The sequence below is a fragment of the Homo sapiens genome, chromosome 1 (genome assembly GCF_000001405.40).
Source record: "Homo sapiens chromosome 1, GRCh38.p14 Primary Assembly".
Classification (NCBI taxonomy): Eukaryota; Metazoa; Chordata; class Mammalia; order Primates; family Hominidae; genus Homo; species Homo sapiens.
In genome coordinates this window covers 73,980,898-74,003,405 of record NC_000001.11, presented here as the reverse complement: position 1 = coordinate 74,003,405, position 22,508 = coordinate 73,980,898, and the positions used below count along the sequence as shown (strand labels likewise).

Sequence of the window (22,508 nt, the reverse complement as noted above, 5' to 3'; positions counted from 1 at the left end):
AGTTAGCTGCTTGCAATGAGTGACAGTGGTGAAAGAGAGTTCCAGGCAGAAACAAAAGCAAGAGCAATTTCCTAAGAGACAGAGAGTGTAAGGTGAATTTAAAGAATTGAACTTCATTTAAATAAGCGCCTGAAAAAGCATTATAAGAATTTGGTACGTTATCCTGAGAGCAGTTTTGAGCTAAGATAGGATTTTAAGGAGGGGAGTGGGTGACTTAAAAAGATCATTCTGGGTCTAATGTGGAGAATGGATTAGAGGTGGACAAGATTGGAGATAGGAAGCCCATTAGGAGGTTATTAAAATAATCCAGGCAGAAGATGGTAAGGCTTGAATTTACGTAATGGAACTGGGGATAAAGGAGGTCAACAGTTCAAGGGATGTTAGCATTTCTCTTTCTCCCTCTCCACCTCCATTTGTGTAATGTGCATTAACCAGTGGTTTTGCTTATATCTGCACTATGACAGAATGCCTGGAGATCTAGATTCCTTAAGATCTTTGATATTACAAAGTGATAATTTGATAGGAATTTTATGAGTAATTGCTGAAACAACTGCTAGGTACTTGAAGAGGAGAATGGACAGGTCATGTATTTGTGGATATGAATGATGCAATCTCAATCTGTCCACAAAAGATAGCACAAAGTGTCAGGCTTCTGAGCCCAAGCTAAGCCATCATATCCCCTGTGACCTGCACTTATACATCCAGATGGCCTGAAGCAACTGAAGAATCACAAAAGAAGTGAAAATGGCTGGTTCCTGCCTTAACTGATGGCATTACCTTGTGAAATTCCTTCTCCTGGCTCAGAAGCTCCCCCACTGAGCACCTTGTGACCCCCGCCCCTGCCCGCCAGAGAACAACCCCCTTTGACTAATTTTTCACTACCTACCCAAATCCTATAAAACGGCCCCACCGCTATCTCCCTTCATTGACTCTCTTTTTGGACTCAGCCTGCCTGCACCCTGGTGATTAAAAAGCTTTATTGCTCACACAAAGCCTGGTTGGTGGTCTCTTCACTCGGACATGCATGACACAAAGGAGATTCTAGGAAGGAAGACTTGGTCTTGGCCACTTAATTAAGGTAAAATTTCAAGGACATTGCAGTGTCAGTATTAAGACAGAGGACTAGTGTTATGTGTTGAATTGTATCCCCAAAAAAGATGCTGAAATCTTTACTCCCAATAACTGTTAAGTGTGACCTTATTTGGAAAAAGGGTGTTTGATGATTATCAACTTAAGACTAGGTTATTAGGGTAGACTCTGGTCCATTATGTCTGTGTCCATATAGAAAGGAAAAATGTGGACACTGAAACAAATGCGCACAGGAAAAATGCCATGTGAATATTGGAATTATGTTGCCCCAAGCCAGGAAACTACCAGAAACTAGGAGAGAGGTCTCAATCAGATTTTCCCCAGTGCTGTCAGAGAGAGCATGGCCCTGCTGACACCTGATTTTCAATTTCTGACCTCCACAACTGTGATACAAAGCATTTCTGTTGTTTAAGTGACTTTGTGGTATTTTGCTATGGCAGCCCTAGAAACCTAATACAACTGGAGAAAGGAAGACTTCAACTGGACACATGAGAGAATTTGCTAGATTCAGGAGAAGGAGGACATGTTGATATGCCAGTCAACTATTTCCCTATAACTGGACCATACTACCATGTGAGATGCAGCCAAATGTTCAATGGTGTATCTGTCAGTTCGGTGTGACTTTCTCACATTACTTCACTGACTTGTGGGAATAAAAACTATACTAGTTATCTAGCTAGGCCCATGATTCTGAAGCAGAACATTGATTCCATAGCCCTCCTAACTTTCTAGCCAGTACTCCTGTATTCAACCTATCTCCTTCTTTTATGCCTTATTCTTTTTCTTATCCCTCTTTTTCAACCTAAGCACTGAGATGTCTCTGTTCAACTATATTAACTTTGGGTAATAATATCAATATCCTTCCTCTGTTCTGGGCTCATTCCCTATTTCTCCACATTCTCCAATACCCTGTCTAGTAGGCAGTATTACTTCTATCAGTGAATTGAAACCAGCTGCAAGCAGATTTTGAAGAGTGAAACTAGAATATGAGGCTGTCCTGAAAGCGAATGTCTTTTTTTATTCATGTTTTCAAAATTATTTTATTGAGATATAACATACATAGAAATGCATATATCTTAAATGTATGGCTTGATAATTTCTACTTATATACATGTTACAGATGAATTTATATTCCCATGTTACCACAGCTTAGATGAAGATTATGATTATTTTGTATTATTAGTTTTTTAAAGTTTGCCTCTACTGGTGAGTGCATAGTGGTGTTTCATTGTGGTTTTAATTTGCACTTATTTGATGACGTGTCCATATCATTTATGTTTGGCTCTTGTAAATAACAAGAATTATTTTATTCCAATAAGACAAATTTTAATAATGAGTTTCGTATATTTATATTTACTGTGATTACAGAAATATTTGGATTTTTTTACCATTTACTTTATACTTTGTGGGTCATTCATAATGAAAAGAAAGCTAGGGTGGCAATATTAGTACTTGTGTGGTGAAGAACTAACTTTACCAAAAGAGAAGTCTGGCCTTTGTCTTGGCTCCAGGAGGTAGCCTCTAAACCCTTTGAATTTTCCAAGTAATTGGAGTGTCTTTGTTATGGTGGGCCTGTTAGAACCCACTTGATAGAGAGTTATGCTGATTAGGTGACTGATGGTTAGCTCCTAGATAGTTTATGCTGAGGAGTTGACTAGGTTGGATTTGGCCATACTGGAAAGATCAACCTTATATTTTTATATCACCCTAACCCCAGTGGAAGCGAGAGCTAACTGGAGACTGAGTCAGTGGACAATGATTCAATCAATTGTGTCTACAGAGTTAGAGTCCGATTTAAAAAAAACAAAAACAAAACTCTTAACACTGAAGCTCAGTGAGCTTTCCCTGGTTGGCAATACTCTTGAGTATCGTCGCACTTTGACACTGAGAAGATGATGAAAACTGTGTTTTGAACTCTCTGAGTCTTCACTCTATGCATCTCTTCTAATTTGGGAATATATATATTATATATGCTATATAATATATATATTAAAACTATAACTTTAAGTATTAGACTTTCTTCTAGTGAGTCCTGTGAATTTTTCTCTTGAAAAATCAAACTTGAGAGTGGTTGTTGAAACACTCTAATTTGTCACCAACTGGTCAAAAGTAAAAGTGGCCCTGGGGACTCCTGACTCTTAACCTGTGAAGTTTAGCCTACATCGGGTAGTATTAAATTATACAGAATTTAAGATGAATGTTATTAAGAATAAAGAGGGACACGATATATTATAAAGTAATAAATTTCTTAGGAAAATATAAACAGTCTAGTTAAACAGTCATAAAATATGGAAAGCAAAATCTGCTGGAACAGAAAAAAATAATTTATCCCTATAAGGGGAGATATTAATGTACTTTTATTAATCAATCAGTTAGGCAGTGAAATAAATTAATAATGATATAGACAATATGGACAGCATAATTAACAATTAACAAGTTTGATTTATCTATCTATTTAGCACCTAAGAAGTAGAAAATGCACATTTTCAAGCTCACATGAAACATTTTTAAAAAAATGACTGTGTGCTAATCATAATGAAAGTCTCAATAAATCCAAAGACAATGATAATATATACAACTTACATTAAAAAAAAAAGAAAACTGTGCCCTTTTGCTGAATGTACACTTTTATCTGTGTTTCTTTTTCAAGTAAGAGGCCTCTGGCACACTAAATAAGATCACTTGAGCGATGGAGTCTCTTTCTAATAAAAGTGATTGTAGGAGCTGTGGAGAGCCAGCGAGCCTTGAAATTTTGGCTCCTGCGGTCTGCCAACTTGATATTGGGAGATCACTCTCAGTGTGTGTGTGTGTGTGTGTGTGTGTGTGTGTGTGTGTGTGTGTGCATCTGTATATGTGTATGCATTTGCATGAAATTTAGCACCCCTCATTGACTTTACTCTTAACTCCAACTCCTTACTTTGTATCTTTTCTTCGACTATTTCTTGACTTTCTTGGGAGGCTGCTGGCATAGCTGTCTCAGTAATTAATGTTATGGAAAGTCTCATCAAGGATGCTGAACAGAAAAATGAATTCCAATATGCACAAATGTATAATATTAACATTTAGCTCTAGGGTATTGTTCTTAATTGTCTTGCATTATAATTTGTTTCATAACTGCTTCAATTGATCTTACAGTGATTCAAAATATTTTAATTGCAGGATGAAGTCCATTTAAAAGATTGAAAAATAAAAAATGATTCCAGGACCATGAGTTCCTTTGTTCTTTGTTTTTGATTTTTAATATTTCAGACTAGTGATTTTGCCTATGCAGTGCTATACTTTACTTTGTGCCAGGGCTCCCCAAACTCTAATGTGAAAACCATTTGCCTAATCATCTTGTTAAAGTGCAGATTCTAAGAGGGTCTGGGAAGAGGACTGAGATTCTGAATTCCTAACGAGCTCCCAGATGTTTCTTGTACCTAAAGTGTGGTCAGCAGACTGCACCTTTGCACATCAAAGCTCTGTATTGTTCTGAACTGTACTATCCTATTCAACATAGTACAATAATTGGACTTGTTCAGATATTTAACCCTGAATCAGTTAAAAATATTTTATAAACCAAAAAACATTTTTAAGAAAATATAAGATAAAACAGTATTTAAACATGGTGAGTTAATAAATAAATTATGTATATAGAACATAAACATTTGTTGTTAGGTCTGTTGAGAGGACCTTTTTTTCAACAAATGTGTTCACATACTTATTGCAAGAAAGAAGTGCCATTTGTTTTAATTTGATTTTGTAGTATTTACCAGTAGATGGCAGTACATATTCAAGCTTATGGCAAGACAGTTACTGTAACTAAAACAGTGTCCCCTAACATTCAAGAAGGCAGTCTTTCTGTAAGTGCTCCTCAAGCCCCAAGACAGAGTCATGGAACTCTTATTTGCAACGCATTTTTATTTGATATAGGCTCTAAACATCCTTTTTTATTCAACTTGAATGTTAATAAATATTTTCACTTTAGAAAATCAGAAAAACACTCTAAGAGGTCAAATGAGAAAAAATGAAGTTAGGACTATAGCAGATGGAGATTTAGTTTACATTTGTACATTGGGTGTGTGTAGGGGGGGAAATAATCCTCTTTCAAAGCATGTATCAAATAAAACACAAATCTGGAATTAGGGTAAAGAAAATATTTTTTAAAATTATCGCAAGGAGGAAAGAGAATAGAAGGAGGGGAATTGTAATAGAAGGAGGGGGACTACTGTAATAGATCGTGAGACCTGCCAGTATTCAAAGATTAAACAAAAAGAGTTTTCCTTTTATAATAAGAAGTAAACAAGGCTAGAAAAAAATTAGGTGTGGAGAAATGGGATGAAAGAGTGGACAGCAGATTGGACAGTAAATAAGAAACTGTGTTACTGAGATTATTCGCAGGAGTTGCTGTTAAGGGGCTGTCTGCTGGTTTAGTCTGAAGGTGGTTCAAAGTTCAGGGACCTAGGGGAAGCAGAGATGCTTTAACAAAGCTTGCTTAACAAGCATTTTGTTCTCATTGATCCGTGGGGACCAGCAGTTCAGTTAACTATTAATGAAGCAAAGAATGGGAGTTTGGAGGGTTTTGTCTGGATTGGTCATAGGTAAACCAAGGAAAGCATCCCTAAATAAGTCATAGGGAAGGCTGTTTCTTTGTAGTAAGGTATCTTTGGGGACACAAAAGGATGGGGATATTTCTTTAACACCTTTGTTTTCCAAGATCCCTGGGTTCTAGTAAAATTCTACATTGTCATAGCTAAAAAGTCTAAATAAGGGATTTAAATGAATTTTTATAGTTATGGTTGCATTTATTCCATAAATGTTTATTGGAATTCAAGCAATGTGTAGGAATGGGCTCTGGTCATTTAATGGTCCAAATGTTATGGCTAAAAATGCTCCCCAAGGATCTTACTACATATCCAGTCCAAAGCATTCTATAGTTACATAGGTAATTTGAAAAACATGGTTTGATTTTTTCCTAAATAATGTAAGTTAATAAGCCAAAGTAAATGCTTAATAAATGTTGGTTTGATAAATGAATGAATACATGTTCTGCATTAAACATATTATTACATGTTTATATATTTGACTGAACTGAATAAGACTTAAAGTTAAATTTCTCAAAATATTTCCTTGCTGCTCGTGGACAAAATCTTCCCAGGTATTTCCTATGAAGTCTAAGTGCTGCTTTTCAGGGTGCACTTATGTCTTTACTTGTAAGTTTACAAAATCGAATTTTTCTGTCTTTCTAGAAGTAGTATTGTGACTTATACCTTTCTGAATAAAACAGCAGCAACAACAACAACAACGTTTATGGACATAAACTGAGGGAATAAGGGCATATTTCAATTCCTATACCTAACATTAGGATTTCAAAAATAGGCCTTCTCTCCATCTCCTACTTACGAAGGGGATGTGATTTCAGGTGGAGAGTGAGGGTCTGGGAAACATCATTTATATTTAAACCCTTAATATATGTTTCTCATCTAATGCCCTCAATAGTATTGCAGGGTACATGTTTTAATAATGTTCTTATAGATTAAAATATTTTCCCAAATACACAGAAATAAAACACAAAAGTGACAGAGAGGGCTCTGAATAAATTCATTATATGTGTATATATATATATGTGTGTGTGTGTGTGTGTATATATGTGTGTATATATATGTGTGTGTATATATATGTGTGTGTATATATATATGTGTGTGTGTGTGTGCATATATATATATATATATATATATTTATTTATTTATTTTAACAAAATAATTACTCTATCCTGGAGCAGGGCAACATGCTGGAAGGTACAAGGCTAAAATAAAAATTGTCTCTGCTGTTAAATTTTTGCCACCTAAAGAAACCAACTAATGTAGATCTCAGGATAGCATTCTGTCTGAGTGTAGGGGAAGCAGCAGAGAGAAGTGATAAATTCTTCAATGGACAAAGTTGATGGTCAAGAAAGACTTGAGAATATGTGCCACGGGTTAGATGTTCTCCAAAACTTTGAGTCTCTACTTCCACAGTGTGAAGTTGGTGCTGGTAGAGGAATCTCCAGACAGGAACTATGTTTCTCCAGCCTCCTTTGTATACAGTTGCAGTAATGTGTTCTCATCTATGAGAAATTCTCCCCAAAAAAAGCTAAGCAGAAGTGATGTGTGCCACTTATGGTCTAGGTTTTTCCACTCTCCTTCCTTTTTTTCACCAGAAGCAGAGGACTCTGAGGCTCCAGTGAATGAATGATAGAGCAAATAGGTGGAGAAGCCTGTGAATGAATCACCATGTGGAAAAACAGGAACATGGTTATGTGGATGAAAAATATAATTATATTATTTTATGGGATTGAAATTTTGAGGAGTAGTTACTATAGCAATTACTGCAACTATAACTATTATAGAAGTTACTCCTAATCTGAGTTATGACAAGTTAACTCACGTAGCTCACATAATTTTAAATTGTAAGGAATCTTATACATTATTCCAGATTTTCATTTTATACAGCAAGACATATGCCTACAGGAGAGTCGAGGTTACATTGCTAATAGGTAATGAATTTAGGTCTAGAATTTTGGGCTTTCCTGCCCCAAAGCCCTGTCTAGGGGAGGAAGGTGTCATGCTGCTTTTATATAGCACTTAACGAAAATCACCCCATTTAACTTTTTATTGACCTTTAAGTTTATTTCTCTGTATTCAACAATCTGCAAAGAATTAGTCATGGTTTTTCTTATTATCACCTACTGTGTAGCTAAAGACAGCTATTTTCCATAAAAAATAATCACAATTATTTCTTGTTCTTAAGCTAAGATGTATAATTCCTTGAACAGTTTCACATTTATTGTATCTGAATTATCTTAAAATAAAAATGCCCACATCCTTGGTATTTTTCTTAAATAAGTGTATCTCATAACTGCCTAGTAGAAAGAATACTGGGCTAGAAATAAAAATTATATTCAACTTAGCAAATATCTCTGATATACTTATTATATGTAAGTCTTGGTACTAGTCTTGACCAACTTGCATTTTTAAGGAAAATGATTGCTAACCAAATATCATCTCCAGTTCAAACATGGTAGAATTATACTTTCCAATCTTTTTGTTGTTGGCTGGGGATTCTGTGATGAGTAATGGGGGGAAGTAACATCTTCCGGACCAGAGAAGTTATTTGCTGGTGGACAGTCTTCAGAATATTTTTTTCCCTGTGGCATAAATGCAATCAGGGTTCAAGACTGTGGCTGCTCCATCAGCCTGTGTCTCTCAATGGCAGTATCGATATCCTCTTCTTACCTATGATGGACCTGTAGCAGGAGCAATCAGCAAACCTTCATTGTTTCAGTATGTAGGAATTTGGAGAGTATTACTGCAGCATAACCTAATCTATGCTGACTGAAATAATGATGTTTCTGACATTATAAATGTGATCTTGAAAAATTCATTAAACTTCTTGGATGTCTAGCCTGCAATTTGGGAATTAACTGCTGTTTAGAGACCAAGTTATATAATTATGGAAAATACTAGACTAGGAGTCATAAATCCTTAGTTTTGTTATCTACCTGGTCACTAATTTGTATAACTTTGGGAATGTATTCCTTCTCTAATTTATTCCCAAATATCTATTGAACATTTATTGTGACTAAGTACCAGAAAACACAGATGAATAGAATCTTATTTATTGCCCCCACAGGAGCTCACAGGTGACACAGAGAGACAGAGAGATGTAAGTAAATATGATGAGATGTGGTGAGTTATAGTAAAGCGCAGATTTTTATGAGAAGTGTAGGAGGGACAATCAGGTAAAGGCACAGGGGAGTAAGGAAGGGATCACAGAGAAGACATTTCAACTTGAACCTTTTTATTAGAAGAAGTAGCATCTTTAGCAAGAGAAAGAGTATATGAAAAGATGTAAAACTGTATGTTTTAAAAGAGTAATCTCCTTTCTTTCTTCTCTAAAACTCATATGTCCAATTATTTGAGTGGGTTTTTATTTTCTGGACAGGAGCAAGATGTAGATGGTTCTGATGTTTGTCAAGGTATTTTAATGGCCCACTTAAAAAAAAGCCAATAATCTTTTGTGTATTTTCTGGAACCTACAAAAATAAAGTAAATTTTCTCTTCATTAGAATATTCAGCTCTACGTACATTGTGGCCAGGGATAACAGTACAAGCATTTTTGCATATAGAAAGAAAATTTCTTAAGGTGTTTCAGACTATTAATTTTTAATGTCCTTATAAATGGAATGGCTTGTATATTTGTATATGTGCATGTGTGTGTTTTAATAGTTACTCATTCCAAAACTACAGGAAAAATTAAGAGGTACATGGGTACCTCGCCTTGTCATGGCAATCTTAAAGAATATAAATGATGTCCCAAAGCATTTCTTAGAGTTTTCTATTATTAAGACTAAGAAAAAGGGCATTAATTATTATTTATTTTTTCTTTGAATACTAGGAACAATCGTAGTAGCATCTAAAGTTGTTTGTTTTACATTTATTTTAATTTCTTTAGTTATCAACAGTGTAATAAAATGTGTTACATACATAAAATCTTATTTTTTTATAATGATTTTTATGGAGAATTAACGGATGGGTCCAAAAAGGAAAAAGTGATGCTCCTCGTATCACCTTTCACTGTAGCTAGTACTGCTGCCGCAGTGCTATACTGAAGAACCAAGCATCCTGGAGTATCAGGTAGTGCCCAGCTGTAGGGTAAATAAAGACCAGAGTTAGAGCTGAAAGCAGGGGAGAAAACATATCTCATGTGGTAGCAACAGCAAAGGAGATGACTCACGATCAGACATGTGATATGCTCACTTTCCCCCAAATAAGCTAGAGAAAGGGAGGCTAACATTCTATGTTTACAGTATGAATGTGCCTGTCATAGTTCGATAAAAGTTAGTACCTCTGTGTGGCACATGGGTCTGTAGAATGGTAGACCCAAAGCTTGAATATGAGCAAGAAAAGTTCCCCAAATAAAGGGAAGGATCACTCTGAGAAAGACCAATGGACTTGATGTTAATCTCACATGGTAACAGAAAGCTACTGAAGAATTTTGAATAAGGGAAATCATAATACGATTTGTGTTCTGTAAAACACTCTCCAATAGATGTGTTGAAGATCGATCAAAATTAGGGGGAAGTGGGAACCCAAGGCAGCCACAGACAGACTATTACTGTCATATTTTCAGTATTTGGTGCAATATGTGGCTGGCAGAAGATGCAGAAGAATATTTGGGGTATGAAAGAGTGGAGGCAATGATGAGGACCTGAACTACCTTAGTGTCTCTGGGTTAGTGAGATATGTAGGATATAAAACTAAATAGCATGCGGATCACTGATTGGATATGAGATAAAAAGAATAATTTCAAAATGACTCAGATTTTTAGCTTGAATGAGTTCTGATGGCTTCACCTGAGGAAGGGAAATCAGAGGGAAAATAATTTCACCTAATTAAAGATCAATTTAGCCTACCTGGAGCTTAACTTCTTTATTTTTTAAATGAGGAAGGCAAACTAGGAAATCTCTAAGTTATCAGCCAGCTCCAACAATGTATGATTAGATAATTCTAAATATGTGATAAAAGAAAATACACTGCCATAAAAAAAAAGTTGGTGCAAAAGTAATTATGCTTTCAGGCTGTGAATGTTAAATCATTATAACTAGGCTCAAACACATCTTTATTAATGAAAATAGAAACCATTACAATCAACATATTTTTGCCAATGAAAAATAAGTTTGTTTATTCCTGTAGCATAAAAATCCATGCTTCAAGATTCTACAAACTCTTAGATAGCATTTTTTGCATCTTGCTCATTGTAGAAACATTTTCCCTGCAAAAAGTTGTTGAGATGCTTGAAGAAGTGGTAGTTGGTTGGCGAGAGGTCAGGTGAATATGGCAGATGAGGCAAAACTTCATAGCCCAATTTGTTCACCTTTTGAAGTGTTGGTTGTGTGACATGTGGTTGGGCATTGTCATGGAGAAGAATTGGGTCTTTTCTGTTGACCAATGCCAGCTGCAGGTATTGCAGTTTTCGATGCATCTCATGGACTTGCTGAGCATACGTCTTAGATGTAATGATTTCATCAGGATTCACAAAGCTGTAGTGGATCCGACCGGCAGCAGACCACCAAACAGTGACCATGCCCATTTTTTGGTGCAAGTGTGGCTTTGGGAACTGCTTTGGAGCTTCTTCTTGTTCCATCCACTGAGCTGGTGGTCGATGGTTGTCATATAAAATCCACTTTTTGTTGCACATCACAATCTGATTGAGAAATGGTTCATCGTTATTGCATAGAAGAAGAGAAGACGACACTTCAAAATGATGACTTTTTTCAATTTTTGCTCACCTCATGAGGCGCCCAGTTATCAAGCTTTTTCACCTTTCCAATTTGCTTCAAATGCCGAGTGACCATAGAATGTTCGACTTTGAGTTCTTCAGCAACTTCTCATGTAGTTGTAAGAGGATCAGCTTCGATGATTGCTCTCAACTGATCATTGGCAACTTCTGCTGGCCAGCCACTATGCTCCTCATCTCGTCACCTTTGCAAAACTTCTTGAATGATCACTGCACTGTAGGTTTGTTAGCAGTTCCTGGGTCAAACGCATTGTTGATGTTGTGAGTTGTCTCTGCTACTTTACGACGCATTTTGAACTCGAATAAGAAGATTGCTTGAATTTGCTTTTTGTCCAACATCATTTCCATAGTCCAAAATAACTATAAAATAAATGGGAAGTAATAAGTCATTAGCAAAATAAAAAAACATAAAGTGAGAAATGTTCATTAAAGTGATTTATAACCACATTTATTTAAGATTGTATTCCAGTATCAAATGGCAAACTTCAGCAATGCAAAAACTTTTGCACAAACCTAATATTAATTATTATTGGTAGAAACATTGGCTTCCAACAATGCAGTATTATTACAAGGGCCCAATTAGCACTGAATAAAGAAAGACAATTATTCACAGACTCTTCCTTGTCCTTTTTTTTTTTTAACATAATCTGCTATCTTATGCATTGTTTTCTTCTCAGACAGCTTTATATAGCTTACACATCTGCTTAGTTTGTGAAATATAGGTGCTCCTTGACTTAAAATGGTATTACATCCAGATAAACCCATTGTAAGTTGGAAATAACATAAATCAAAGATGCATTTAATACACCTAAACTACCGAACATCATAGCTTAGTCTAGCTTATGTTGAATGTGCTTAGAATACTTACATTAGCCGCAATTGAGTGAAATTATCTGGCAACACAGTCCACTATAGAATCTCTGTGTTTATCCTCATGATCCTGTGGCTGACGGGGGGCTGTGGCTCACTGCTACTGCCCAGCAGTGCCAGAGAGTATTATATTGTATATTGCTAGCCTGGGGGGAAAAAAATCACCATTCAAAATTCAAAGTATAGTTGCTACTGAATGCATCTAGGTTTTGTACCATCATAAACTCAGAAAATCATAAGTTAAACAATCGTTAAGTTGGGAAGCATCTGTACTATGATCTCAGTTTATTTATTTATTTTTATTCCTCATAATGTATTTTCTAATACACTCCCATTTTTTTACTCATCGTTAGGTGCCTGCTTGTGTTTTGATCTCGATTTTATTTCCATTCACTTTTTGTTAATTTTGAATTACTTATTCTTAAGATGTTAACAATTCTAATTTTCTTGGCATTATTTGAAAGACAATGTTTTTACTCTTAATCGTACTCTTGAGGGAGGGAGAGCACCAGGATAAATAGCTAATATATGGAGGGCTTAATACCTAGGTGATGAATTGATAGGTGCAGCAAGGGCATGTTTATGTAACAAATCTGCACGTCCTGCACATATACCCTGGAACTTAAAATAAAATTAAATTAAAAATAAAAAATATACTCTTGAAATTATTTATAAAGATAAATAATCAGAAAGTAAAACAATAATAAAAAATACTTTCACATTAACAACCAATGTGAAACAGGAATAATTTTAATAAGAAATGCATGTGATATTTTAGGGACATATAAGAATGCTTGAGTAAATGAAGCAATGCACTATATTTCTGGATGAGAAGACTGAATATTGTTAAAATGTCAGTTTGTCTAAACTTATATTGTAGGTTTATTGTAATTAAAATAGAATTCCAATTAGGATATTTTTCACCTGATAAAATTATGTTAACATTCTTCAGAACAATGCTCTGAAACAAATAATTAAAAGGAAAAAGTGATTTATTAAGAGTGCTCTCAGAAGAAACCTATGAGGGAGGGAGGTAAGCAGGATAAGGAAAGGAAATAAATTAAGCAACGATATAATTCAGATCATATACTTTCAGTGGGGCAATCTCACCCCCAAGGGAGTGAAAATTGATTGTTGGGAAGTGAAAGATATTATAATGGTGTGTAGCCCTCCAAAACACCACCATACACAAATAAATACATAGATGGTCTCTCTTGACATTAAAATTTCATGGCAGTGGATGATTAGGGGAAAAAAACTGTCTATGAAGTTTCTTTAGGGGACAATAGTGGAAAAAAGGGGGCTGAGAAACACAATTTTATGTGAAATGCAACCTCAGGATGATCTTAAGAAGATTTCTGGAGTATCAATTGCCCAAAGTTTATTTTGTCTTTAGGTAAGTGAGGCTCATATCATCAGTCATGAGATATGCGCCATCCTTGAGTGAGAGGGCATAATTCCCAGGCACTTCCTTATGCAGCAGCTCTAATCACTGAAGAGCCATTCTATGGAGGAGGTTGCCTGTATGAGCCATTAGCAGTGACATTCATAGCAACTGAGGGATGGCCACACTGAGCAGTGTATTCTATAGAAGGAAGAGATTTAGTAGTCACTGTTTTCACATACTATAATGTTTTGCATAGAAACCTGTGAAATTCAACAAACTATTAGAACTAAAAGGAGAGTTCTCAAGGTTGCTGGCTATAAGATTAACATGTAGAAACAACTGTTCCTCTATACTGGTATGAAACTACTAGAAACCAAACAGAAATTAAGATATTATTTTCAAAGAACAACAGAATTCTGAAGTATTTAAAAAGAAATCTAACAAATATACACTATTTGGGGATAAACCCTATCAAAGAACATTTAGAAAGACATAGATAAAATATATTTATGGACAGTATGAGTTAACAACCCAACCAATCAAAATTATGGAGGGTTTTAAGAAAATAATTAACAAATTTCCAAATGTCAGTTGTAGCACTACTTGAAATAGTGAAAATGTAAGAAATACTTAAGTGTCCATAAATAAGTGAAGACACAGCCACATAATGGAATATAAAAAATAGTGATCCAGACCTATGTTACTTGCTATGGTGAGATGTCTAATGTATATTAAGTGGGAAAAGCCAGTTGTAGAACACACTTGTGTGTGGAAGTGGCTTTGAAATTAAGTAATGAGTAGAGGCTAGAGGAATTTTGAGAAGTAAGTTAGAAAAAACCTAGATTGCCTCAAATAGACTTTTTGTAGAAATATGGATGTTAAATTCCACTGGCAAGGGCTCAGAAAGACACGAGGAACGTATGTAACATAGTTTTTCTGCTTTCTTTTCTGTGTTTATCCAGAGTTTAAGTTTTATTTTTAATTTACAAACAATAATCACATATATTTGTGGAGTATAAAGTGATACTTTTATATGTATCCACTGTGGAACAATGCCCTGGCTAGAGGCTGGTTAGTTCCCCTTCTTGAGCAGCTGCCTAAGGCCACACTGTAACCACATCCCTTATCAAGCTCTCATATTATGGGCCATTATGCATCAACTTTAATCACCCCAGAGCCAGGTACCAGCCAACTAGGGATAAATAATTCAAATTAGCCAATCAACAAGGAGACCTTGAAATCTAGCACACTTCACTCCATTTGAGATACAGAAACTTTCCCCTAAAGCTCCAGCTTCCTATTACCCTGTCTCCAGTTGCAACTCCCCATGTGGCTCTGCCTGCAGCCTTCTGTCATTTCAAGCCATAAAGAACAAAAAGTTATGCCTTTTATCTGAGTATTCCTGTATTGCATCTTGCCATCAAAAGAATCTTTAAATTTTACAAAACAACATACTATTGGAAACAGAAATAAAGATAATCTTTTTTTATATATGCAGAAAGCTTACCTTCATTGTGTCCTACACTTGTAAGGGATGGACTTGGATATATAGCTGAGATTTCCAAGCAAAGTGTTGAAGCCAAGGCTTAGTTTCTTTTTTGCTACTTATGGTAAAATGTGAGAGGAAGAGATAAATTGAGGAAACAACTATTAAGCAAAGAGGAATCAGAAATTGATGATTTTGGACATTCTCAGTTTATCTAGACTTTAAAAGATGCTATAATGAGGAGATTCACTGTCAGAAAAGCATGCTCTGAGGAAAAGCCAAGAATTTAGCTGGACAACCTTTTGCTAATTTCTTAGAAGTAACAAAAGCTCACAGTCAGTATTCAGTCACACAGAGGACTCTTTGAGGAGCTTAGTTGTCTGACTCATGGATCCTCTCAGCTATCTCTGGAAAAGCCAAAATTAGAGGAAGAATAATCCAGAAAAACCTGTGGAGGACCCACTTGTCTAATGGAGTGAATTCCTGTGACATACACAAAAGAATCACTCACTGATACTTGAGAATGTTAGATCAGAAGAAACATGGTTAATTTTGCTCTAAAAGGACAGAGGAGATGAAATGAAATAAAGCTGTTGGACTTCCAAAATTCTATAGGCAGGAAGCAGGCTGATAAAACCATTTAGTTGCAAACACATGCTATCCTGTAACATAAAGGAAAAATGACTCTGATGGTGGAACCGCTGGCATAGAGGGATGAGCCTAAAGTCACAGAAGATTATTCCAGGCCTTAAAACATAATGGAGTTGGCCTTGCTGGATTTTAAAATTGCTTGAGAGAACCAACTCTTTTTTTCTTTTTCTTGATTTTTGAATGGAATTGTCCATAATTCTTCTACTATGACTATCCTACCATTATATTTTGGAAGCAGTGAACTTGTTTTCTAGGAACTTGCTAAGAGAGTAACTTGGATATTTAGCTAAGGAACTTTCTGAGCAAAGTTTTAAAGGTATGGCTTGATTTCTGTTTGCTGCTTGCAGTAAAATGCAAAAGGAAGCAATTATGATGGGAGTAAAGAGAAATTTGAAGAAGTACATTTTGAAGACAGAGAAAATTGCCACAAGCCAAAAAATAAGGACAGCACGTAGAAACTGAAAAAGGCAAGGAAACAGATTCTCTCCTCAGAACCTCCACGAGGAACCAGTCCTGACAACACTTTGACTTTAGCTTACTGTGACTACTTGTGGACTTCTGACCACCAGAAATGATAAAGAGTAAACTTGTACTGTTAAAGAAGATACGTTTGTGGTAATTTGTTATTGTAACAATAAGAAATGTGTGTATGTATCTATAGGAATACTACTTAAGTAAAAATACATTTATATGATGCTTATTATAGCCCACACATTTTACTAAATGTTTTGTACAAATATTCTTATCTGATTCTAGAAAGAATCTTATTTACTTTGCATTTCTATGTGTCTATATATGGATGTGTGTATTATGTATGTGTGTATATATATATATTTCTTAAGTAAAAAACCTAAAACTTAGGTTAAGTAACTGGAAAAAGGTCAAATAGCCAGGAAACTTTGTATCCAGAAACTTTGCTGAATTCATTTATTGGTTCTAGGAGCTTCTTTAGAGCTGTGCTTTTAACGATAAAGTAAAATTGTGATCTGGATAATCTTTTAAATACAGGAAGAAAAAACGAAACCTGGAAATAAATATAACAAAATGTTTATTTGCAGGTTGAACATTATGAATATGTTTTTCCTTCTTTTTACCTTTCTGTATTTCTTTTGTATCAGGTGTATATTATTTTCATCATGTGAAAATCAAACAAACATAATACAAAACTTTACTTCTGTGTAGAATTGGATTTTCTAGATATTAATGATTTGTACTCTTCTTCAGACAATCACTTTATACTAGCTCTATTTTTTTTTTTTGAGACAGAGTCTCACTATGTTGCCCAGGCTGGAGTGCAGTGGTACAATCTTGGCTCGCTGCAGCCTCTGCCTCCCAGGTTCAAGCAATTCTCCTGCTGTAGTTTCCCGAGTAGCTGGGATTACAGGCATGTGCCACCACACATGGCTAATTTTTATACTTTTAGTAGAGATGGGGTTTTGCCATGTTGGCCAGGCTGGTCTTGAACGCCTGACCTCAGGTGATCCACCTGCCTCAGTCTCCCAAAGTGCTGAGATGACAGGTATGAAACATAGCACATGTCCTATGCTAGCTCTTTAAAGTAATTTTTCACATAACTACATGGTCTGGCTAGTGATTGTTTTTCAGAATAACAAATAATTAGAAATTGTTGTCTAAGATTCTTTGAATCAGATTGTGAAAGATAATACACATAGAAGAATATGGCAACACCTGATTTGTTGACTTAAAAAATATCACTTTTTTTTTGACATGGAAAAGCAGATTATTTTGGTTCAAAATGAGTTTCTAGAGTAAAATAGACAGAATTATGAGATGGTCCCCAGACTCCTACCTTCCGGTACAGATTCCCTGTATAAACCCCTCCTCTTGAATGTGGGCAGGACCTGAGAATATAATGGGGGAGTTATTCTCTTGATTAGATTGTTTTATATACAACTACATGCTTTGAAGAAGTAAGGGGAAATGCTAACAAAAAAAGTCCAGGACCAGATGGATTCACAGTTGAATTCTGTCAGACATTCAAAGAAGAATTGGTACCAATTCTATTCACAAGATAGAGAAAGAGATGGAATCCTCCCTATATAATTCTATGAAGCCAATAGCACCCTAATACCAAAACCAGAAAAGGACATAACAAAAAAAGAAAACTATAAACCACTATCCCTGATGAACATAGATGTAAAAATCCTCAACAAAATACTAGCTAACCGAATCAAATGGCATATCAAAAAGATAACCCACCATGATCAAGTGGGTTTCATTCCAGGGATGCAGGGATGGTTTACCATCCGTAACTCAATAAATGTTATACACCACATAAACAGAATTAAAAAGGAAAATCACATGATCATCTCAATAGATGCAGAAAAAACACTTGACAGAATCCAACATCTCTTTATGATTAAAACCCTCAGCAAAATGTGCATAGAAGGGACATACCTCAATGTAATAAAAGCCATTTATGACAAATCCACAATCAACATTACGCTGAATGGGGAAAAGATGAAAGAATTCCCCCTGAGAACTGGAACAGATAAGGATGCTCACTTTCACCACTTCTATTCAACCTAGTACTGGAAGTTCCAGCCAGAGCACTCAGACAAGAGAAGGAAATAAAGGACATCCAAATCAGTAAAGAAGAAGTCAAACTGTCACTGTTTGTTGATGATATGATCATGTACCTAGAAAACCCTAAAGACTCATTTAAAAGCTCCCAGAACTGATAAATGAATTCAGCAAAGTTTCTGGATACAAAATTAATGTACACAAATCAATAGCACAGTCACACATCCACAATGACAAGATGAGAATCAAATCAATAACTCAAACGTTTTTACAATAGCTGGAAAAAAAAAACCATAGGAATGAAAGACCTCTAGGAGGAAAACTACAAAACACTGCTGAAAGAAATCATAGATGACACAAATGAATGGAAACACATCCCATGCTCATTGATGGGTAGAATCAATATTATGAAAATTAGCATACCACCTGATATGGTTTGAATGTGTTCCCACCCAAATCTCATCTTGAATTGTAGCTTCCATAATTCCCATGTGTTGTGGGAGGGACCCAGTGGGAAATAACTGAATCAAGGGTGCAAATTCCCCCATACTGTTCTCATGGTGGTGAATAAGTGTCATGAGATCTAATGGTTTTGTAAGGGGAAACCCCTTTTGCTTGGCTCTCATTATTCCTTTGCTTTTTCTTCATCTTCTACCATGATTGTTAGGCTTCTTTAGCCATGTGGAACTGTGAGTCCATTAAACCTCTTTCCTTTATATATTACCCAGTCTCAGGTATGTCTTTGTCAGCAGTGTGGAAATAGGCTAATACAGTAAATTGGTACTGGTAGAGTGGGGCACTGCTATAAAGATACCCAAAAATATGGGAGTGACTTTAGAACTGGGTAACAGGCAGAGGTTAGAATAGTTTGGAGGGCTCAGAAGAAAACAGGAAAATATGGGAAAGTTTAGAACTTCCTAGAGACTTGTTGAATGGTTTTAACCAAAATGCTGATAGTGATATGGACAATGAAATCCAGGCTAAAGTGGTCTCAGATGGAGATGAGGAGCTTGTTGGGAACTGGAGTAAAGGTAGCTCTTGCTATGTTTTAGCAGAGACTAGCAGCATTTTGCCACTGCCCTAGAGATTTGTGTAACTTTGATCTTAGGGGAAGTGATTCAGGGTACCTGGCAGAAGAAATTTCTAAGCAGCAAAGCATTCAAGATGTGACTTGGGTGCTGTTAAAAGCATTCCTGCAGAAATTTGCATAAGTAACAAGGAGTCAAATGTTAATCACCAAGACGATGGGGAAAATGTCTCTAGGACATGTCAGAGACCTTTGCAGTAGCCCTTCCCATCACAGGCCTGAAGGCATAGGAGGAAAAAATAGTTTAATTCACTGGGCCCAGGACATCCCTGCTCTGTGCAGCCTAGGGACTTAGTGCCCTGTGTCCCAGCTGCTCTAGCCATAGCTAAAAGGGGCCAAGGTAAAGCTCAGATTGGGGCTTCAGAGGGTACTTCAGAGGGCAGCTTCCACATAGTGTAGAGCCTGCAGGTACAGAGAAGTCAATAATTGAGGGGGTTTAGAACCTCAATTATTTTAAACCATGTGTGTAGATTTCAAACCATGTATGTATATGCCTAGATGTCCAGGCAGAAACTTGCTGCAGGTACAAGGCCCTCATAGAAAACCTCTGCTAGGTCAGTGCAGAAGGGAAATGGGGGGTTGAATTCCCTACACAGACTCCCCACTGGGGCACTGCCTAGTGGAGAAGTGAGAAGAAGCCACCATTTTCCAGACCCCAGAATGGTAGATCCCTGAAGAGGCTGCACTGTGCACCTGGAAAAGCCACAGACACTCAATGCCAGCAAATGAAAGCAGCTGGGAGCGAGGCTGTACCCTGCAAAGCCACAGGGGTGGAGCTGTTCAAGACTATGGGAATCCAACTCTTGGATCAGTGTGACCTGGATGTGAGGCATGGAGTCAAAGGAGATAATTTTGGAGCTTTAAGATTTGACTGCCCCAGTGGTTTTCAGGCTTGCATGGGGCCTTTAGCCCCTCTGTTTTGGCCAATTTCCCCCATTTGGAATGGGTATAACATTCAATGCCTGTGCCCCCATTGTATCTGGGAAGTAACTAACTTGCTTTTGATTTTACAGGCTCATAGGTGGAAGGAACTTGGCTTGTCTCAGATGAGACTTTGAACTGTGGACTTTTGAGCTAATGCTGAAATGAGTTAAGACTTTGGGGCACTGTTTAGAAGGCACGATTGGTATTGAAATGTGAGGATCTGAGATTGGTATTGAAATGTGATGTCAGGGGTGGAATGATATGGTCTGGCTGTGTCCCCACTGAAATCTCATCTTGAATTGTAGCTCCCATAATTCGCGTGTGTGGTGGAAGGAACTGATGGGAGGTAATTGAATCATGGGGGTGGTTTTACCCATACTGTTCTCATGGTAGTAAATATCTCTCATGAAATCTGATGATTTTATAAGGGTAAACCCCTTTTGCTTGGCTCTCATTGTCTCTTTGCTGGCTGCCAATGTAAGATGTGCCTTTTCCCTGCACCATGATTGTGAGGCCTCCCCAGCCATGTGGAACTGTGAGTCCATTAAACCTCTTTTTCTTTATAATTTATCCCAGTCTCAGGTATGCCTTTACCAGCAACATGAAAATGGACTAATACACTTCCTAAAGCAATCTACAAATTCATGCAATTCCCATCAAAATACCACCATAATTCTTCACAGAACTAGAAAAAAAATCCTAAAATTCTCATGGAACCAAGAAAGGGCCCACATAGCTAAAGCAAGACTAAGCAAAAAGAACAAATCTGGAGGCACCACGCCTCCTGACTTCAAACCACACTATAATGCCATAGTCACCAAAACATCATGGTACTGGTTTAAAAAATTAAGCACATAGACCAATGGAACAGAATAGAGAACCAAGAAGTAATGCCAAATACGTACAGCCAACTGATCTTTGGCAAAGCATACCAAAACATAAAGTGGGGAAAAGACACCCTATTCAACAAATGGTTCTGGGATAATAGTCAAGCCATATGTAGAAGAATGAAACTGTATCTTCATATATCATATTAAACAAAAATCAACTGAAGATGGATCTAAGACTTAATCTAAGACCTGAAGACATAAAAATTTTGGAATATAACATTGGAGAAACCCTTCTAGATACTGGCTTAGGAAAGACTTCATAACCAAGAACCTAAAAGCAGAGACCCCCACTGAATAGCCAACAAGAAATAGGGGTCCTAGTGCTACAACTGCAGGAAATGGAATTATTCCAACAACCTGCAAGAGAACCATGAGCTACAGATGAGAATACAGCCTGAGCTGGAACCTTGATTTTAACCTGGTAAGACCCTGAGCAGAAAACCCATTTAAGCTAGACTTTGACCTCTGACCCACAGAAACTAAAAGGTAACAAATCTGTGTTATTTTAAACCACTAAATTTGTGGTTATTTGATATACAGCAAGAGAAAACTAATATATATAAACTTAGGTATAATATTATCCTTTATAGAGAAATATTACCGGGAAGAAGCTTGGCAAAAGATATGAGTTCTATTCCACCCTCTGAAGTTTCATATAGTTGAGGCTGGTGATGAATTTGTACCCAGGGAATGTCTCACTCTCTAAATATTTTCCTTCCAAGCTTGTCTTAACTTATAAAGGCTAAGATAAGAGTGTGTAGAGGGAGTAAGAGGAAACCATAATTGGGTGCCCACTAGGTTACTAGAACCATGGTATATGTTACTACCTTTTTCTCATTATATTCTCAAAAATCCATGGAGAGGTAGATACTAGAATCCCCATATCTTAGATGAGAAAACAGGGTCAGAGATATAAAATAACTTTTTCAAATGCAATATAGGTAGCCAAAGGCTCATCTTCCAGGGAGCTATTGACTTTTATTGTCTGTTCTCTGCTTGTTAATGTTATTTCTACCCCTCCTAGGCATCTTCTTTTAATTCCTTTTGCTCAGCCATCCCTAGAACAAATAACAAATTTAACAAATATCTAGCTATGGTAGATAAATTCACAACCCAGTTTATTCACAATCATTTTCTGTTTCAAGAATAAAGTGAAAAAGTAGCACCTTTATTAATATATAGAAAAAAATTGTGTAGTTATACACTTCGAAATACCTGAGAGAAATTCATTATTTATTTATCTTTGCAGGAGGAGGGTTATAT

The 22,508-nt window shown here is 36.4% G+C and overlaps 1 annotated feature.

Moving 5' to 3' along the window:
* Positions 650-1,151: an enhancer, noted in NCBI's record as "NANOG hESC enhancer chr1:74467939-74468440 (GRCh37/hg19 assembly coordinates)". NCBI's record gives its function as "activates a minimal SCP1, AML or CMV promoter by ChIP-STARR-seq in naive H9 embryonic stem cells {active_cell/tissue: H9 hESC(naive)}" and the evidence as "EXISTENCE:reporter gene assay evidence [ECO:0000049][PMID:30033119]".